The sequence below is a fragment of the Homo sapiens genome, chromosome 19 (assembly GCF_000001405.40).
Source record: "Homo sapiens chromosome 19, GRCh38.p14 Primary Assembly".
In the NCBI taxonomy this organism is placed as follows: Eukaryota; Metazoa; Chordata; class Mammalia; order Primates; family Hominidae; genus Homo; species Homo sapiens.
In genome coordinates this window covers 9,346,450-9,361,970 of record NC_000019.10, presented here as the reverse complement: position 1 = coordinate 9,361,970, position 15,521 = coordinate 9,346,450, and the positions used below count along the sequence as shown (strand labels likewise).

The following is a 15,521-nucleotide window of genomic DNA, read 5'->3' as shown; positions in this document are numbered from 1 at the left end:
TCAGAACTAAGAATCCTGGTTAAAGGAAATCTCAACCCCTCCTGGCAGTCTGTGCCTCTCACAGAGACCAGCTCCATAAAATAACTGCCTATAAACAGAAGATCCTTAAAGCACTAGGGATTAATTACTAACATTAGATTTAGACATTAGGGCCATTGTGTTTAAAACAAAAATTTCAATCTACATCCAAAAAGGGAAAGATTTTAAGAAGTTAGGTTCTTTTCTTTAGCACATGATTACAGCCTAAAAAGGAACTACTAGGGGAAGTGTGAGGATATTTACACACTTTCATTGACCAAGGACTCTTGGCTTTGTTCTGGGGACAAAGTGTGATGGTCGGAGGCAGAAGTAAAATGACTGTTAGCCCTCCTGAGCTCCATGGCAAACACACAGCCTTTGTTAATGCTGGTCTTGGCCTCCACCTGTATTCATGCACGAGGTAGAACCTCTCTTTTTTCTAGAGAAAACGCCAAGGCTGCATGCATGCAGATGCAAGGGCAGGCTGCTTGTTCACTGGAATACAGCTACTTCACTGATTACACTGATTCCATTTTTAAATTATTTTTTTTTTTTTCTGGAGAGGGAGGTTGGATAGAGGAGAAGGAAGTTTCAGGGAGTCAAAGGCCCAGAAACTCAGTGGAATGACTCTTCTCACCACCTGTTCTGTTCCCTGCTGCTGACAATTCCCACTGAGCCCTTCAAGTGTCTCCCACACACAGGACAAGTACTGCTGCTCCTACCTCCTCTCCCATGGACGCAAACATTGGTGGGAGCAATCATTTTATTTTTATGGCAAAGAGAAGCCCTGAGGGGACCCACATGGATGTCTTCAAGGTGACAGGCAGAGCCTGAGGCTCTGAAAAAGGCTGGCCTAAAACTACTGCACTAGATGTGCATTTCCCGCTTGGACGAATCTCATTTGAGAATTAATGACATAGCCTTTGCCTACGTGGGGCCCTGTTGGCTCTGACTGCAGTCAGGTTTGGGGTAGGCAGTGTAGAAACCCCCAAGATACCCTCACAGGCATCTGTAACACTCATGTTAGGGGTTTATTTATACTAAACCACAGTAGGTTCATGCAAATCTAAAAACACTTTATGACGTGTTTGTGTCTAAAATCCTTAATCTCTTAAAGCAATTAAAAAAAAAAAAAGCAGACCCCAAATTGAAAACAGGCTTTCCAATTTCAATGGGTAGTATTTTCTTCCGAGTCCTGTATTATCATTGGCCAGATTTTCAGAATTATTTTTTTAAAAGACTACTTTAGGAATTTTGTTAAAGGATACTGTCACCATTTATGCATCAAAAACTGGCAAAATTGTGCCACCTATGGATCCAGAGCAGAGACATGTTTGAATACAAATTCCCAATGAAACTAAACCTGGGGGTTTTCAGGGCTCAAAATCAAAACCTATAGCCTTGTTAAATGCTCATATATACTTTTTTTTTTTTTCTGAGACGGAGTCACCCTCTGTTGCCCAGGCTGGAATGCAGTGGCGCAATCTCAGCTCACTGCAACCTCCGCCTCCCGGGTTCAACCTGTTCTCATGTCTCAGCCTCCCCAGTAGCTGGGATTATAGGTGCCTGCCACCATGCCTGGCTAATTTTTGTATTTTTAGTAGAGATGGGCTTTTGCCACATTGGTCAGGTTGGCCTCGAACTCCTGACCTCAGGTGATCCACCCGTCTTGGCCTCCCAAAGTGTTGGGATTACAGGTGTGAGCCACCGTGTCCAGCCTCACATATGCTATTAACTTTTCATTCCTTTGTCAACTGCAAGAATCGTAGTATTTGACAAGTTGGGTTTTTCTTGTCAAATATTACCATTCTTGCAGTTGACAAAGGAATGAAAGTTTTTTTTTTTTTCAGTAGCTTGGCAAAACAATCCTCTTATTTCCGATGACAACAATACTCTCATTTTCTTCTAATTCCTGAAAATCAACATGTAACATACTTCATTTTATTGTGCTTTGCAGATAACGTGTGGGGTTTTATTTTTATTACAAATTGAAGGTTATTACAAATTGAAGGTTTGTGGCCACTGATGAAGTCTACTAGCACCATTTTTCCAATAACACATACTCACTTTGTTTCTCTGTCAGAATTTTTAAGCAAAGTATTTTACAATTAAGGTGCATCCTTTGTTTTTTAGACATAATGCTACTGCACACAATAGACTATAATTTTTTTTTTTTTTTTAAGATGCAGTATTGCTCTGTTGCCTAGGCTGGAGTGCCATGGCACAATCTCAACTCACTGCAGCCTCCACCTCCTGCGTTCAAGTGATTCTCCTGCCTCAGCCTCCCAAGTAGCTGGGATTGTAGGTGTGCTCCACCACACCTGGCTAATTTTTACATTTTTAGTAGAGAATGGGGTTTCACCATGTTGGACAGGCTGGTCTTGAACTCTTGACCTCAGGTGATCCACCACCCACCTCGGCCTCCCAAAGTGCTGGGATTATAGGCATGAACCACCACGCTCAGCATTTTTTTTTTTTTTTTTTTTTTTTTTTGAGACAGGGTATTACTCTGTCACCCAGGCTGGAATGCAGTGGCACAATCATAGCTTATTGCAGCCTTGAACTCCTGGGCTCAAGCAATCCACCTGCCTCAGCCTCCTGAATAGCTAGAACTACAGCTACTCCACCACACCTGACTGATGTAAAACATTTTTTTTGTAGAGATGGGGTCTTGCTATAGTTGCCCAGGCTGGTCTCAAACTCCTAGACTCAAGTGATCCTCCTACCTCAGCTTCTCAAAGCACTGGGATTACAGGTGACAGCCACCTCACCCAGCCAACGTAACTTTTATATGCACTAGGAAACCAAAAAATTTGTATGACTCACTTTACTATGATGGTCTGTGGAAGCGAACTCACATATCTCCGAGGTATGACTGTACATAACTGTGAAAACCTGAAATTAAATAAACTGTATTGTCTACAGATGCCAAAACAGTGGCAAAAAAATAAATAGCCCTTACTTATATTTTACCCTGAGTGTGGTTCTGAATTTGAAGAATGGTTACTCAGAGGCAAAGAGATTGGGGAAAAAAAGATCAGTCTAAATCTTGATATTATTTCTCCTAGACTTAACCGGTCTCCAGGGTCCGCAATAGGGGAGACTTTGGGTTCATCATGGGATCTCTAAAGTAAGTGGCTTAATGATAATATTGCGAGCTTTATTACTATCATGCTTATACTCTGAAATACTTGATTCTAACAGGATATGGACATACATATCCAATTAGACAGATGTAGCTTGCTGAGTAACTTCCAAAACAAGAGAGAGGAAAGAAATAGGAGATTGAAAAATATATATATATTTGGGCATGGTGATTTGTGCCTGTAGTCCCAGCTCCTGGGAGGCCGAGGTGGGAGGATCACTTGAACCCAGGAGGTGGAGGCTGCAGTAAGCTATGATCATACTACTGCACTCCAGCCTGGGTGACAGAGCAAGACCCTGTACCAAAGGAAAACAAAAAAGATATTTTGAACTGTGAGTTCTCTGCCCAGAGGCACACAATAATTCTGAATATTTGGCCAACAATATATAACCCAGAAGAATGCAAATTGGCTGCTGTTAATTTTGGATGAGGTCAAAGTCTGGAATCAGTAACTAGGGTTCCTCTGTTAACTCTAAAGACTGGACAGACTCAAGTGAAACAAGGTGCGCTGGAATCCATCAGAGATGGTGGTGGATATTTCATAGTACACAGACCACATAAGACATTAACAATGGTACTCCCTCAGGGAGTTGTAATGAAGTGAGTTGACCCCGGGAAAGCTTTTCGGGCATTTTATGGCATCCGTTAAGGGCAAAATAACTGTGAGGTCATCAGACCTTGTGACAGTTATGACTATTAGAAAGTTTCCACTGGCATTTAGCAACAAAATCATTTGCCTTATTAATGACATCATTTAACCAACGGAGAATGAGACTCAGGAAAGGCTAAGGGAAGGGCTCCAGACACACAGCTCAACAGTAACAGCTGCAGGGCCCACATTCCAGCAGCTGGGCTCCAGAGTCTAAGCCCTCAACACCTAGGCTCTATGTGAGCAAACAGTACCTCTAGAGCCTTCGCAACTCTGAAGCCTGTTGGGACCCTGGAATCTTCCCAGTCAGCCATCTAGTACACTGAAGAAACTAATAATCAAAAAGAAGAAGAAAAAAGGGATATGAGTTCGGTTCTGATTATTATTGTTGTGTAAAAAAACCACTTCAAACTTAAGTGATACAGAATAGCAGTTCTCAGGGTTGGTAAACTGCTGAGGGACCCAAAACACTTTCAGGCGGTCTGTGAGATTAAAACTATTGTTATGGCTGGGCGCGGTGGCTCACGCCTGTAATCCCAGCACTTTGGGAGGCCGAGACGGGCGGATCACGAGGTCAGGAGATGGAGACCATCCTGGCTAACACAGTGAAACGCCGTCTCTACTAAAAATACAAAAAATTATCTGGGCGTGGTGGCGGGTGCCTGTAGTCCCAGCTACTCAGGAGGCTGAGGCAGGAGAATGGCGTGAACACAGGAGGCGGAGCTTGCAGTTAGCCGAGATCACGCCCTGGGTGACAGAGCGACACTCTGTCTCAAAAAAACAAAAAAACAAAAAAAAAAAACTATTGTTATAATAGCACAAATACATTCTTGACCTTTTCACCATATCCACATTTATACTGATGACACATTATAAAAGTGGCCAAAAGCGCTGGTGCCTCAGCAGAAATTAAGGCAGTGGGCTGGGCACGGTGGCTCATGCCTGTAATCCCAGCACTTTGGAAGGCCAAGGTGGGTGGATCACCTGAGGTAAGGAGTTAGAGACCAGCCTGGTAATAAACATGGTGAAACCCGTCTCTACTAAAAGTACAAAATTAGCCGGGCATTGTGGCATGCGCCTGTAATCTCAGCTACTTAGGATGCTGGGGCAGGAGAATCGCTTGAACCCGGGAGGCGGAGGTTACAGTGAGCCGAATCACACCATTGCACTCCAGCCTGTGGCTAAAAAGAGCAAAACAGCATCGCAAAAAAAAAAAAAAAAAAAAAAAATTAAGGCAGTGGCACTGAACTGCGCAGTCACTGAATGCCTCACTGCCCCACACTCAGGCTAAATAAAAATGTCCTTGAAGGAACAGCAAAAGTTGGAAAGCTTAGATCTGTCACCTTAGAAGCGTCTCAACGCATAAAAACTTTTCTGATAGGATCAATGGTCATGTTCATGAAGGTTTATTTTAGACACTGTACTTTAAAATGGGTAAACATTTGAAAGATCTGCATAATGAAGTAAATGACTATTTCCTTTCATTTTAGAAATGAGGGTCTCACTATGTTGCCCAGGCTGCTTTCGAACTCTTGGACTCAAGGATTCTCCTACTTTGGCCTCCCGAAGTGCTGAGATTACAGGCAAGAGCCACTGTGCCAGCCCTATTTTCTAAGTCAGGTATTAAGGTATAAAATCATGCATTGATAAAATAGCCAATCAAAGTGCAAGATATGGGCTGGACGCCATGGCTCATGCCTGTAATCCCAGAACTTTGGGAAGCCAAAGCGGGTAGATTGAGGTCAGGAGTTCAAGAGCAGCCTGGCCAACATGGTGAAACCGTTTCTACTAAAAATACAAAAATTCACCAGGTGTGGTGGTGGGTGCCTGTAATCCCAGCTACTCAGGAGGCTGAGGCTGGAGAATTGCTTGAACCCAGGAGGCGGAGGCTGCAGTGAGTGGAGATCGCACCATTGCACCCCAGCCTGGGCAACAAGAGCAAAATTCCATCTCAAAAAAAAAAAAAAAAAAAAAGGCCGGGCGCAGTGCCTCACGCCTGTAATCCCAACACTTTCGGAGGCCGAGGCAGGTGGATCACGAGGTCAGGAGATTGAGACCATCTTGGCTAACACAGTGAAACCCCGTCTCTATTAAAAATACAAAAAATTAGCCGGGCGCGGTGGCGGGAGCCTGTAGCCCCAGCTACTCGGGAGACTGAGGCAGGAGAATGGTGTGAACCTGGGAGGCAGAGCTTGCAGTGAGCCGAGATTGCGCCACTGCATTCCAGCCTGGGCGACAGAGCGAGACTCTGTCTCAAAAATAAATAAATAAATAAATAAAAGGAAAAGAAAAAAATAGTGCAAGACAAACAAATGAATTTTAATGTAACAGAATAGAAACAATTCCTTAACAGGATTTCATTCCATATTGCAACTAATCTTTCAGAAACTACCATTTCTTGAGTTTTGGTGTAATATCAAAGAAAATCCAAAATTACCTGAAAATGCTTCTCTCTTTTCCAACTACGTATCTCAGCAAAGCCAAACTTTCTAATCAAAGCAACTAATGGCAAAAAATGTAGAAACAAGTATGAGAATTCAGCTGTCATCTATTAAGCTCTTAAGACATTAAAGAGATTTGCAAAAGCATGCAATATGTCGCTCTTTCCACATTATTTTGTTGCCATTGTGGAAAAGTTATTTTTAAAAAGCATGTTATGTATATTACTAAAATATTTTTAAAATTTGCCCCAATTCCTTTTGTTTTGAGATGAAGTCCTGCTCTGTCACCCAGGCTGGAGGCTGGAGCACAGTGGCATGATCTCAGCTCACTTCAACCTCTGCCCCCTGGGTTCAATCAGTTCTCTTGCCTCAGACTCCTGAGTAGCTGGAATTACAGGCACACACCACCATGCTGGCTAGTTTTTTTGTATTTTTAGTAGAGACAGGGTTTCACCATGTTGGCCAGGCTGGTCTCAAACTCCTGACTTCAGTTGAGCCGCCGGCCTCAGCCTCCCAAAGTGCTGGGATTACAGGCAAGAGCCACCATGCTTGGCCTGCCTTAATTTCTAAAATGTTAAATATTCACAGATAGAATGCCCATTGGCAAAAGCTTTTTGGGGTGCTCAATTTTTGGAGTATAAAAGAGTCTCAAGATAAAAAAGGTTGAGAACTGCTGGTACAGAACCACTACTACTCTATTATGTTAACAGATCATGGGGCAGGAATTTGGACAGGATACAGGAGGAATGAATGGCTTTTCTCTGCCTCACAATGTCCAGGGCCTAGCTGGGAAGTCTTACACAGCTGATGCTGAATCCAAAGGCTGGGGGCTGGAATCATCTGGATTCTATTATCACTCTTGTATCTGATGTTTTCCCTGAAATGGCTAAAAAACAGACAGCAGCTGGTGGCTGTTGATGGCAGCATCTACATGTAACCCCTCCCTGTTACAGCATAGCTGCTAGTTCCCAAGAGGAAGCACTCTGAGAGGAGGAAGCATCTCAAGAGGGAATGTTCCAGCCAGAAGGGAACCGCATGGCCCTTCGTGGCCTTGCTTTGGAAATCTCATGGAATCATTTATGTTGTACTCCTTTGGGAAATGCAGTCAAAGGTCAGTGCAGATACAAGGGGGAGGTAAAAGTATCAAAGAATTTTAGGGCCGTGTTTTAAAACCATCGGAGTCTGCATGTGGCTACAAATTATTAATATTTATACTTCCCATGTACAAGAAACTCTCACCACTTCCTAAGGCCACACCAAAGTCTCATGCCCGTGGTAGTAGACTCTGGTTTTATGTCCAGGATCTGGTCATCCAAATAAGGTGCAATCCAGAAAAGACGGCCAAGAGCAGTGGCTCACGTCTGTAATCCCAGCACTCTGGGAGGCTGAGGTGGCAGGATCCCTTGAGTCCAGCAGTTCAAGACCAGCCTGGTCAACAGAGAGAGACCCTCTCTCTACAAAAAAATACAAAAATTAGTCAGGCGTGGTGGCACATGCCTCTGGTCCCAGCTACTCAAGAGGCTGAGGCAGGAGGATCACCTGGGCCCAGGAGGTCAAGGCTGCAGTGAGCTATGATTGTGCCACTGCACTCCAACCCTGGCAAGAACAGCAAAAAAGACCCCTCTTACCCCCCACAAACACATGCCGGGTGTGGTGGCATGTGCCTGTAGTCTCAGCTACTCAGTAGGCTGAGGCAGGAGGATCACTTGAGCCCAGGAATTCAAGGATGCAGTGAGCTATGACTGCATCACTGAACTTCAGCCTGGGTGATGGAATGAGACCCTGTCTCAAAAAATGTTTTGAAAAGTGGCTGGGCACAGTGGCTCATACCTGTAATCCCAGCACTTTGGGAGGCCAAGACAGGAAGACAGCTTGAGCCCAGGAGTTTGAGACCAGCCTGGGAAAAATGATGAAACCCTGTCTCTACCAAAAAAAAAAAAAAAAAAACAAATAGCTGGGCATGGTGGCATGTGCCTATAGTCCCAGCTACTCAGAAGGCTGAGGCAGAGGATCGCTTGAGCCTGGCAGGCAGAGATTGCAGTGAGCCAAGATCACTGTGCCACTGCACTCTAGCCTGGGTGCCAGAGTGAGACTCTGTCTCAAAATATAAATAAATAAAAATAAAAATTTAAAAATAACAATAAAACATAAATAAAAATCATAAAAAAGTCCTTGGGTTTGGTTTCTTGAATATACTCCTGCTCCTCTAGATTTGAACATTTGTAAGCTAAAGAGACAAGTTATCTGTTCCCCACAAAACCAATACAGAGTTTGAGACAGGAATGGGATAGTTAAAATAGACATTCCTATTAAAAAGGCATGGGTGGGGAGAAATGGGATTCCACAGCAGCCCCTGACCCACAGCAATTCTTAAATTCAGGCAGGAACATGTTATCTGTTTCTCAAGCACCAGTGCAGCTCCACAGGAGTGAGTCTTCTGAAGTTCTGTACTCTGAATCATACTTGCTTTCCCATAAAAAGTAAACATTTTCAACTGAGTAGTTTTATAGGCCTATTTCATCTGTTTGCTATCTGCAGTTTGGGGGTTCAAAGGTCTCTTTACATTTTGTACTACTTCTTTCCATTTTGTTTGGACAAAGTTGACCTTGCTTTTGCCAACTTTTTTTTTTTTTTTTGCAATAAAAAACCTTTTCCCATTTATCTCCATTAATTTTATTGGATTTGTGTCATTAGACAAAAGTCATGGCTAAAATCTCTTAGGCCCTTCTCTATCTTGGACCACTGTCTGTGAGAATGCAGGGGAACAATGCCCAGAAGGGATGCTGAGATACTCTTTTGGTTAATGAAAACGCACCTTATTTGAACTTCTACATACGATATCTATTCATAAGACTCTATCAAACACCAAACTAAAGGTCTCTGAGGTCTTAAGAAATGGTTCTATGATAAAAGGTTTTCATAATAAAATCTCTCAGTGAACTACTGTAGTCCCAGCTAGATGGGAGGCTGAGGTGGGAAGATCACTTGAGCCCAAAGTTAGAAGCTGCAGTGAGTTATGATTGCATCACTGGACTCCAGCCTGGGCAACAGAGTGAGACCCTGTTTCAAAAAAAAAAAAGAAAAGAAAAGAAAAAAATTAAAATGCATAAATAAATGCTGAAAAAATAAAAAATGAAATAAAATCTCTCAGTGAACAAGCAGTGGAAGGGAACTTCGTCAACCTAATAAAGCTGTCTTCAAAGAAACCCACAGCTAACATCATACTTAATGGTAGAAGACGGAACGCTTTCTGCCTAAGGTTGGGAATAAGACAAGGATGTGTGTTCTCACCACTCTCATTCAACACTACTGGAGGCCCTAGCCAGTACATTAAGAAAATATAAAGAAATAAAAGGGACAGATATCAGAGAGAAAGCAAAACTGCCTTTATAATACAGAGCATAAGATTTGTTTATGTAGAATATTCCAAAAAGTTACAGGAATAGATAACTATAAAAAGTTTGCAGGATTCAAGGTCAAATATAAATTATATATAAATATAAATAATTTTATATACTAGCACTAAAAAATTGAAAATTTAAAACTAGCATTTATAATACCATCAATGAAATGGTGCAATACAGAAAACCACAAAACACTGTTGAAAGAAATAAGACCTAAATTAATGGGGAGATTGTCTTAGTCCGTTTGGGCTGCTAGAACAAAATACCATAGACTAGATGGCTTATAAACAACAGATATGTATTGCTCACAGTTCTGGAGAATGGGAAGTCCAAGATTGAAGTGTTGGCAGATTTGGCATCTGATGAGGTCCCACTTCTTGGTTCACAGATGGTGACTTCTTGCTGTGTCCTCACAAGGCAGAAGAGATGAGCAAGCTCTCTGGAATCTCTTTTATAAAGGCACCAATCTAATTCATTAGTGCTCTGCCCTCATTAGCCTAATCATCTCCAAAAGGCCTCGCCTGCCAATATCATTGGACTGGGGATTAGGATTTCAACCATATAAATTTTGCGGGTATGCAAACATTCAGACCACGGCAGAGATATACTGTGTCTATGGTTCAGAACAGCCAGTATTAAGACGCCAATTCTCTAATTCATCTTTAGATTAAACCAAATCTCAGTTAAAAAAAAAAAAATCCCGGCAGGCTTTTTATGGAAACCAGTAAGTTTACACTAAAATTTATGTGAAAAGGCCGGGTGTGGTGGCTCACACCTGTAATCCCAGCACTCTGGGAGGCCAAGGTGGGTGGATCATGAGGTCAGGAGATCGAGACCATCCTGGCTAACATGGTAAAACCCCATCTCCATTAAAAATACAAAAAAAAAGAAATACAAAAAGCCGGGCGTGGTGGCAGGCGCCTGTAGTCCCAGCTACTCAGGAGGCTGAGGCAGGAGAATGGCGTAAACCCGGGAGGCAGAGCTTGCAGTGAGCTGAGATTGCACCACTGCACTCCAGCCTGGGTGACAGAGCGAGACTCCGTCTCAAAAAAAAAAAAAAAAAAAAAAAAAAATTTACGTGAAAAAACAAAAAACACGGACCATCCCAAATGATTCTGAAAATTAAGGTCAATGTTGGAACTCTCGCACCACTTGCTTTCAAGATTTACTAGACAGCTACCATAATCAAAAATGTATAGTATCCGCAGGCCAGATGCGGTGGCTCGCGCCTGTAATCCCAGCACTTTGGGAGGCTGAGGTGGGTGGATCACTTGAGGCCAAGAGGTTGAAACCAACCTGGCCAACATGGTGAAACCCTGTCTCTACTACAAACACAAGTTAGCCAGCTGTGGTGGCACGCACCTATAGTCTCAGCTACTTGGGAGGCTCAGGCACAAGTCCCAGCTACTCGGGAGGCTGAGGCACAAGAATTGCTTGAACCTGGGAGGTGGAAGCTGCCGTGAGCTGAGATGGTACCACTGCACTCCAGTCTGGGTGATACAGTGAGACTCTGTCTCAAAAAAAAAAAGTGTAGTATTAGCAAAAGGACAGACACATAGATTAGCTGAAACGGAATAGATCCCAGAAATAGATTTAAACATAAGTCATCAATTTCATTTTCAAAAAAGGTACAAATAATCCAATAGAGAAAAGACTGTTTTCAACCAACTGTCGTGCAAAAAAAAATTAAAACATTCGTATCCCTTCTACCACCTCCAAAAGTAACCTTAACCCGTGCATTGCAAAAAGGATCACAGAAGGGCTCGCACTTCCCAATTTCAAAAATTACTCTAAAGCTACAGTAATCAGGACAGTGTGGTTACAAACAGGTTAGACATGTACAATGGAGGTGAACTGAGAGTCTAGAAATAAATCTTAATGCTGGGCACAGTGGCTCACATCTGTAATCCCAGCACTTTGGGAGACAGAGGCAGGAGGATTGCTTGAGCCCAGGAGTTCAAGACCAGTCTGGGCAACAAAATGAAACCCTGTCTCTACAAGAAATACAAAAATTAGCCAGGCGTGGTGGTGTATACCTGTAGTCCCAGCTACTTGGGAAGCTCAAGGAGGAGGATCACTTGAGCCTGGGAGGTCAAGGCTGCAGTGAGCCAAGATCACACCACAGCACTCCAACCTGGGTTAACAGAGCAGGACCCAGTCTCAAAACAAATAAATAAGCCTTTACATTTATGGTTAACTGATTTTTGACAAGAGTGCCAAGACAATTCAATGGGATAAACAGTCTTTTCAACACATATGCTAGGGTAACTGGGTGTTACATGCAGAAGAATGAAGCTGGATACACTGTTCACAGCATGCACAAATATTAGTTCAAAATGGATCATAGAACTAACTTTAAGAGCTAGAACTATAAAAATCCTAGAAGAAAATATAAAAGACTTCACGACCTTGGGTTAGGCAATGGTTTCTCAGATTTGACACCAAAAGCATAAGAAAAAAATAAACTTAAAACTTTTACACTCGAAAGGATATCATCAAGAAAGTGAAAGGACAACACAAAGAATGAAAGAAAATACTTGTAAACGATTTATTTGATATGGTATTTGTACCTAGAATTTATAGGGCTCTTGAAACCCAATAATGAAAAGAACTCAATTTAAAAATGGCAAAGGATCTAAATAGACATTCTCCCAAAGAAGACAGATACATAGTCAACAAACTGATGAAAAGATGATCAATATCTTTAGTTTTCAGGCGAGCTAAGCCCAGAAAAAAAAAATAATAAAAATCTTTAGCCACCAGGGAAATAAAAATAAAAAACTACAAATACTGTTTCCCACCCAATAGGTGTTATCAAAAAAAAGATTAAAAAGATAGTTACTAAATGGTAAAAGATTCAATGATTTACTCCCAAGACCAGAAACAAGACAAGAATGTCTAGTCTCTCAATTTCTATTTAACAATACACTGCAGGTTCTGGTTAATGTAACAAGAAAAATACAAAACGCATACAGATTGGAAAGGAAGAAGTAAAAAATTTTATATGCAGACAACAGAATTGTCCTAGTAGAAAATATGATAGAACCTACTAAAAAGCTGCCAGAAGCTGGGTGCGGTGGCTCACGTCTATAATCCCACCACTTTGGGAGGCCGAGGCAGGTGGATCGCTTGAACCTAGGAGTTCTAGACCAGCCTGGGCAACATGGCGAAACCCTGGCTCTACTAAAAATACAGAAAAATTTAGCTGGGTGTGGTGGTGCACGCGTGTAGTCCCAGTTACTCCAGAAGGTGAGGCACAAGAATCGCTTGACCCCGAGAGGCGGAGGTTGCAGTGAGCCAAGCTCATGCCACTGCACTCTAGCCTGGGATACAGAGTGAAACTTGTCTTAAAAAAAAAAAGCCCATGCGCGTTCCTCAGGTCTTGCAGGCAGCAGGCGTGGGTGAACGCTTGGCACTTGGTGGAGACAGAGAGGCCGGCGGGATATCAGCAGCGCAGCCGGGGTACCGGAGGTGGTCTCGGGCGAGGCGCTCCGGGTCTGAAGGGCTCCAGCCAAACGGAGCTCGCAGCCAAACAGTGCTGGTGGCTCCTGAGCTGAGTGAGGCCTAGGCTTGGAGGCTGTGCTCGGAGTAACGCAAAAGAGAATGAAAGACGTAGATAATCTCGAAAGTATAAAAGACTGGGTTTGTGAAACAGGACCTGACAATCAAGGTCTTGGTGATAATCAATAAACAAATTGTGAATAGTTTGTTGATAGCCTTTTTGAGGAAGCTCAGAAGGTTGGTTCCAAATGCTTGTCTCCCACTTAACAAAAGAAACAGGTAGACGTAAACATAAAATTATGGAAAAATGGATTCACCGTCAACAATTATTTCAGAAGTTATTCAAATGGTGCAAGTCAGCAGTTTCTGAACTCCATCAAAAAGGGGGAATTACCTTCAGAATTACAGGGAATTTTTGATAAAGAGGTGGGTGTTAAAGTTGAAGACAAGAAAAATGAAACATATATGTCTACGAAGCCTGTCTTCCAGCTCTTTTCAGGACAGGGTCACCAAGTAGGAAGGGTAAGCCATATCAAAGACTTCATTGAAAACTACCAAGGATCTCAAAAGAAGTCCTCCCCTGTCCCTGGCAACAGTTTGTCCTATCCTCAGATTGTTAGATGAGACACTCACACTGGAAGAAGCAGATTTACAGAGTTTTGTTGTCAGAGACTCCAAAAAACTGCTGCACCATTGATTTTTGATAGACTAAGTGGAAAATCTGCAGAGAAATGATGGTTGTAAGCAGACATGCAAACCAAATTGGGGACTGGGTAAGTCAGATTCACTGGACTTTTGGTTCGGGTACTATTGAACTCTCTCCTGATGAAATGTTTAGATAAGTGCAAGTTAGAAAAGTAGCATATGACTGGAAACTATATTCTGTGCACTTTTTCCAAAAGGCTACTCAGAGAAATATATTTATTTCAAATACTAATTATCAAGATATATTAAATAGCTGTATTATTTAGAATCTTAATATAGTATAAATTGGCAAATATGTTCACAATATTATTTGTTCAAATACCATTCCCAAACAGGGATTTATTTAAATGTTAGCTGTCTCAGAGTTATTAAATGGCTAATACATTGAAAAATTATACATGGCAGGTTTAAAAGCATCAATGTAATTATTTTACAACTTAGATGCAAAGCTGGAGAGAGCTGTTTTTACCACAGCTATGCCTATACCTCAAAGTGTCCTTAGTTATCACTCTGTAATGGCAACATATATTTGAATATTAATTTGGTAGCTGGGCGTGATGGCTCATGCCTGTAATCCCAACACTCTGGGAGGCCGAGGTGGGTGGATCACCTGAGGTCAGGAATTCAAGACCAGCCTGGCCAACATGGCGAAACCTCGTCTCTACTAAAAATACAAAAATTAGCTGGGGGTGGAGGCGGGTGCCTGTAATCCCAGCTACTCGGGAGGCTGAGGCAGGAGAATCACTTAAACCTGGGAGGTGGAAGTTGCAGTGAGCCAAGATGGCACCACTGCACTCCAGCCTGGGCAGCAAGAGCAAAACTCCATCTCAAGAAAACAAAAAACAAATATGAATCTGGCGATGATATCAAAGATCTATTTTCATTTAAGAATAAAATTGTGGCCAGGTTCAGTGGCTCACGCCTGTAATCCCAACACTTTGGGAGGCCAAGATGGGAGGATCGCTTGAAGCCAGGAGTTCAAGACTGGTCAACATAGTGAGACCCCAATCTCTATTTTAATTTAAAAAATAAAAAAATAAAATTATGTAGCTTATTATAATGTTAATATATTCTAAGTATAATGTTAATATAAATCTTCCAGAACAAATTAACAAGGGTGCAGCATACAAGATGAATATATGTAAAAAAACTGTGTTCCTCTATAGTAGTAGTGAACTAGCAGAGAAATTGAAATTTTTAAAATACCATTTGCAATAGTGTCAGAGAAAAAATGCCTAGGAAGACCCAAACACCGAAAAACACAAATACTACTGAGAAAAAAATTATAAATCCTAAATAAGTGGAGAGATATATTATGTTCATGGGTTGAAATGCTCAATATTGTGAAGACATCAATTATTCTGCAGATTCAACACAATGATAATCAAAATCTTAGTGAATTACTTTGGGGGTGTGGGGTGGTGCTGGTAGAAATTGACAACCTGATTCTAAACTTTATATGGAAATACGAAAGTCCTGTAACAGCTGTAAGTCAACAAGGTACAGCCACATCAAGACCAAATGTGGCTCACAGCCTATAACTGTATAGGTTGAATGGAATGTGAGAACTATTTTTATATTTTAAAAGGTCTGTAATAGAAAAAATAATATGCAACAGAAACTATATATAGCATGTAAAGCTTAAAATCTCTACAATC

General features: G+C 41.9%; 1 protein-coding gene and 1 pseudogene across 3 annotated transcripts in view; one reads left to right on the top strand and one right to left on the bottom strand.

Moving 5' to 3' along the window:
• Window positions 1-15,521, bottom strand: part of ZNF559-ZNF177 (ZNF559-ZNF177 readthrough) — a 58,439-nt gene that overhangs the window by 20,647 nt on the left and 22,271 nt on the right. Inside the window, exons 4-5 of one of the 3 annotated variants that reach the window (NM_001172650.3) lie at window positions 6,250-6,314; window positions 4,067-4,143 (exon numbers count right to left, since the gene is read on the bottom strand). The exons of the other annotated variants lie outside the window; for them this stretch is intronic. The gene's annotated coding sequence lies outside the window, so the exon portion shown is untranslated. The remainder of the gene's footprint in view (window positions 1-4,066; window positions 4,144-6,249; window positions 6,315-15,521) is intronic. 3 annotated transcript variants of the gene reach the window in all.
• Window positions 13,065-14,047, top strand: UBXN2AP1 (UBXN2A pseudogene 1; annotated as a pseudogene).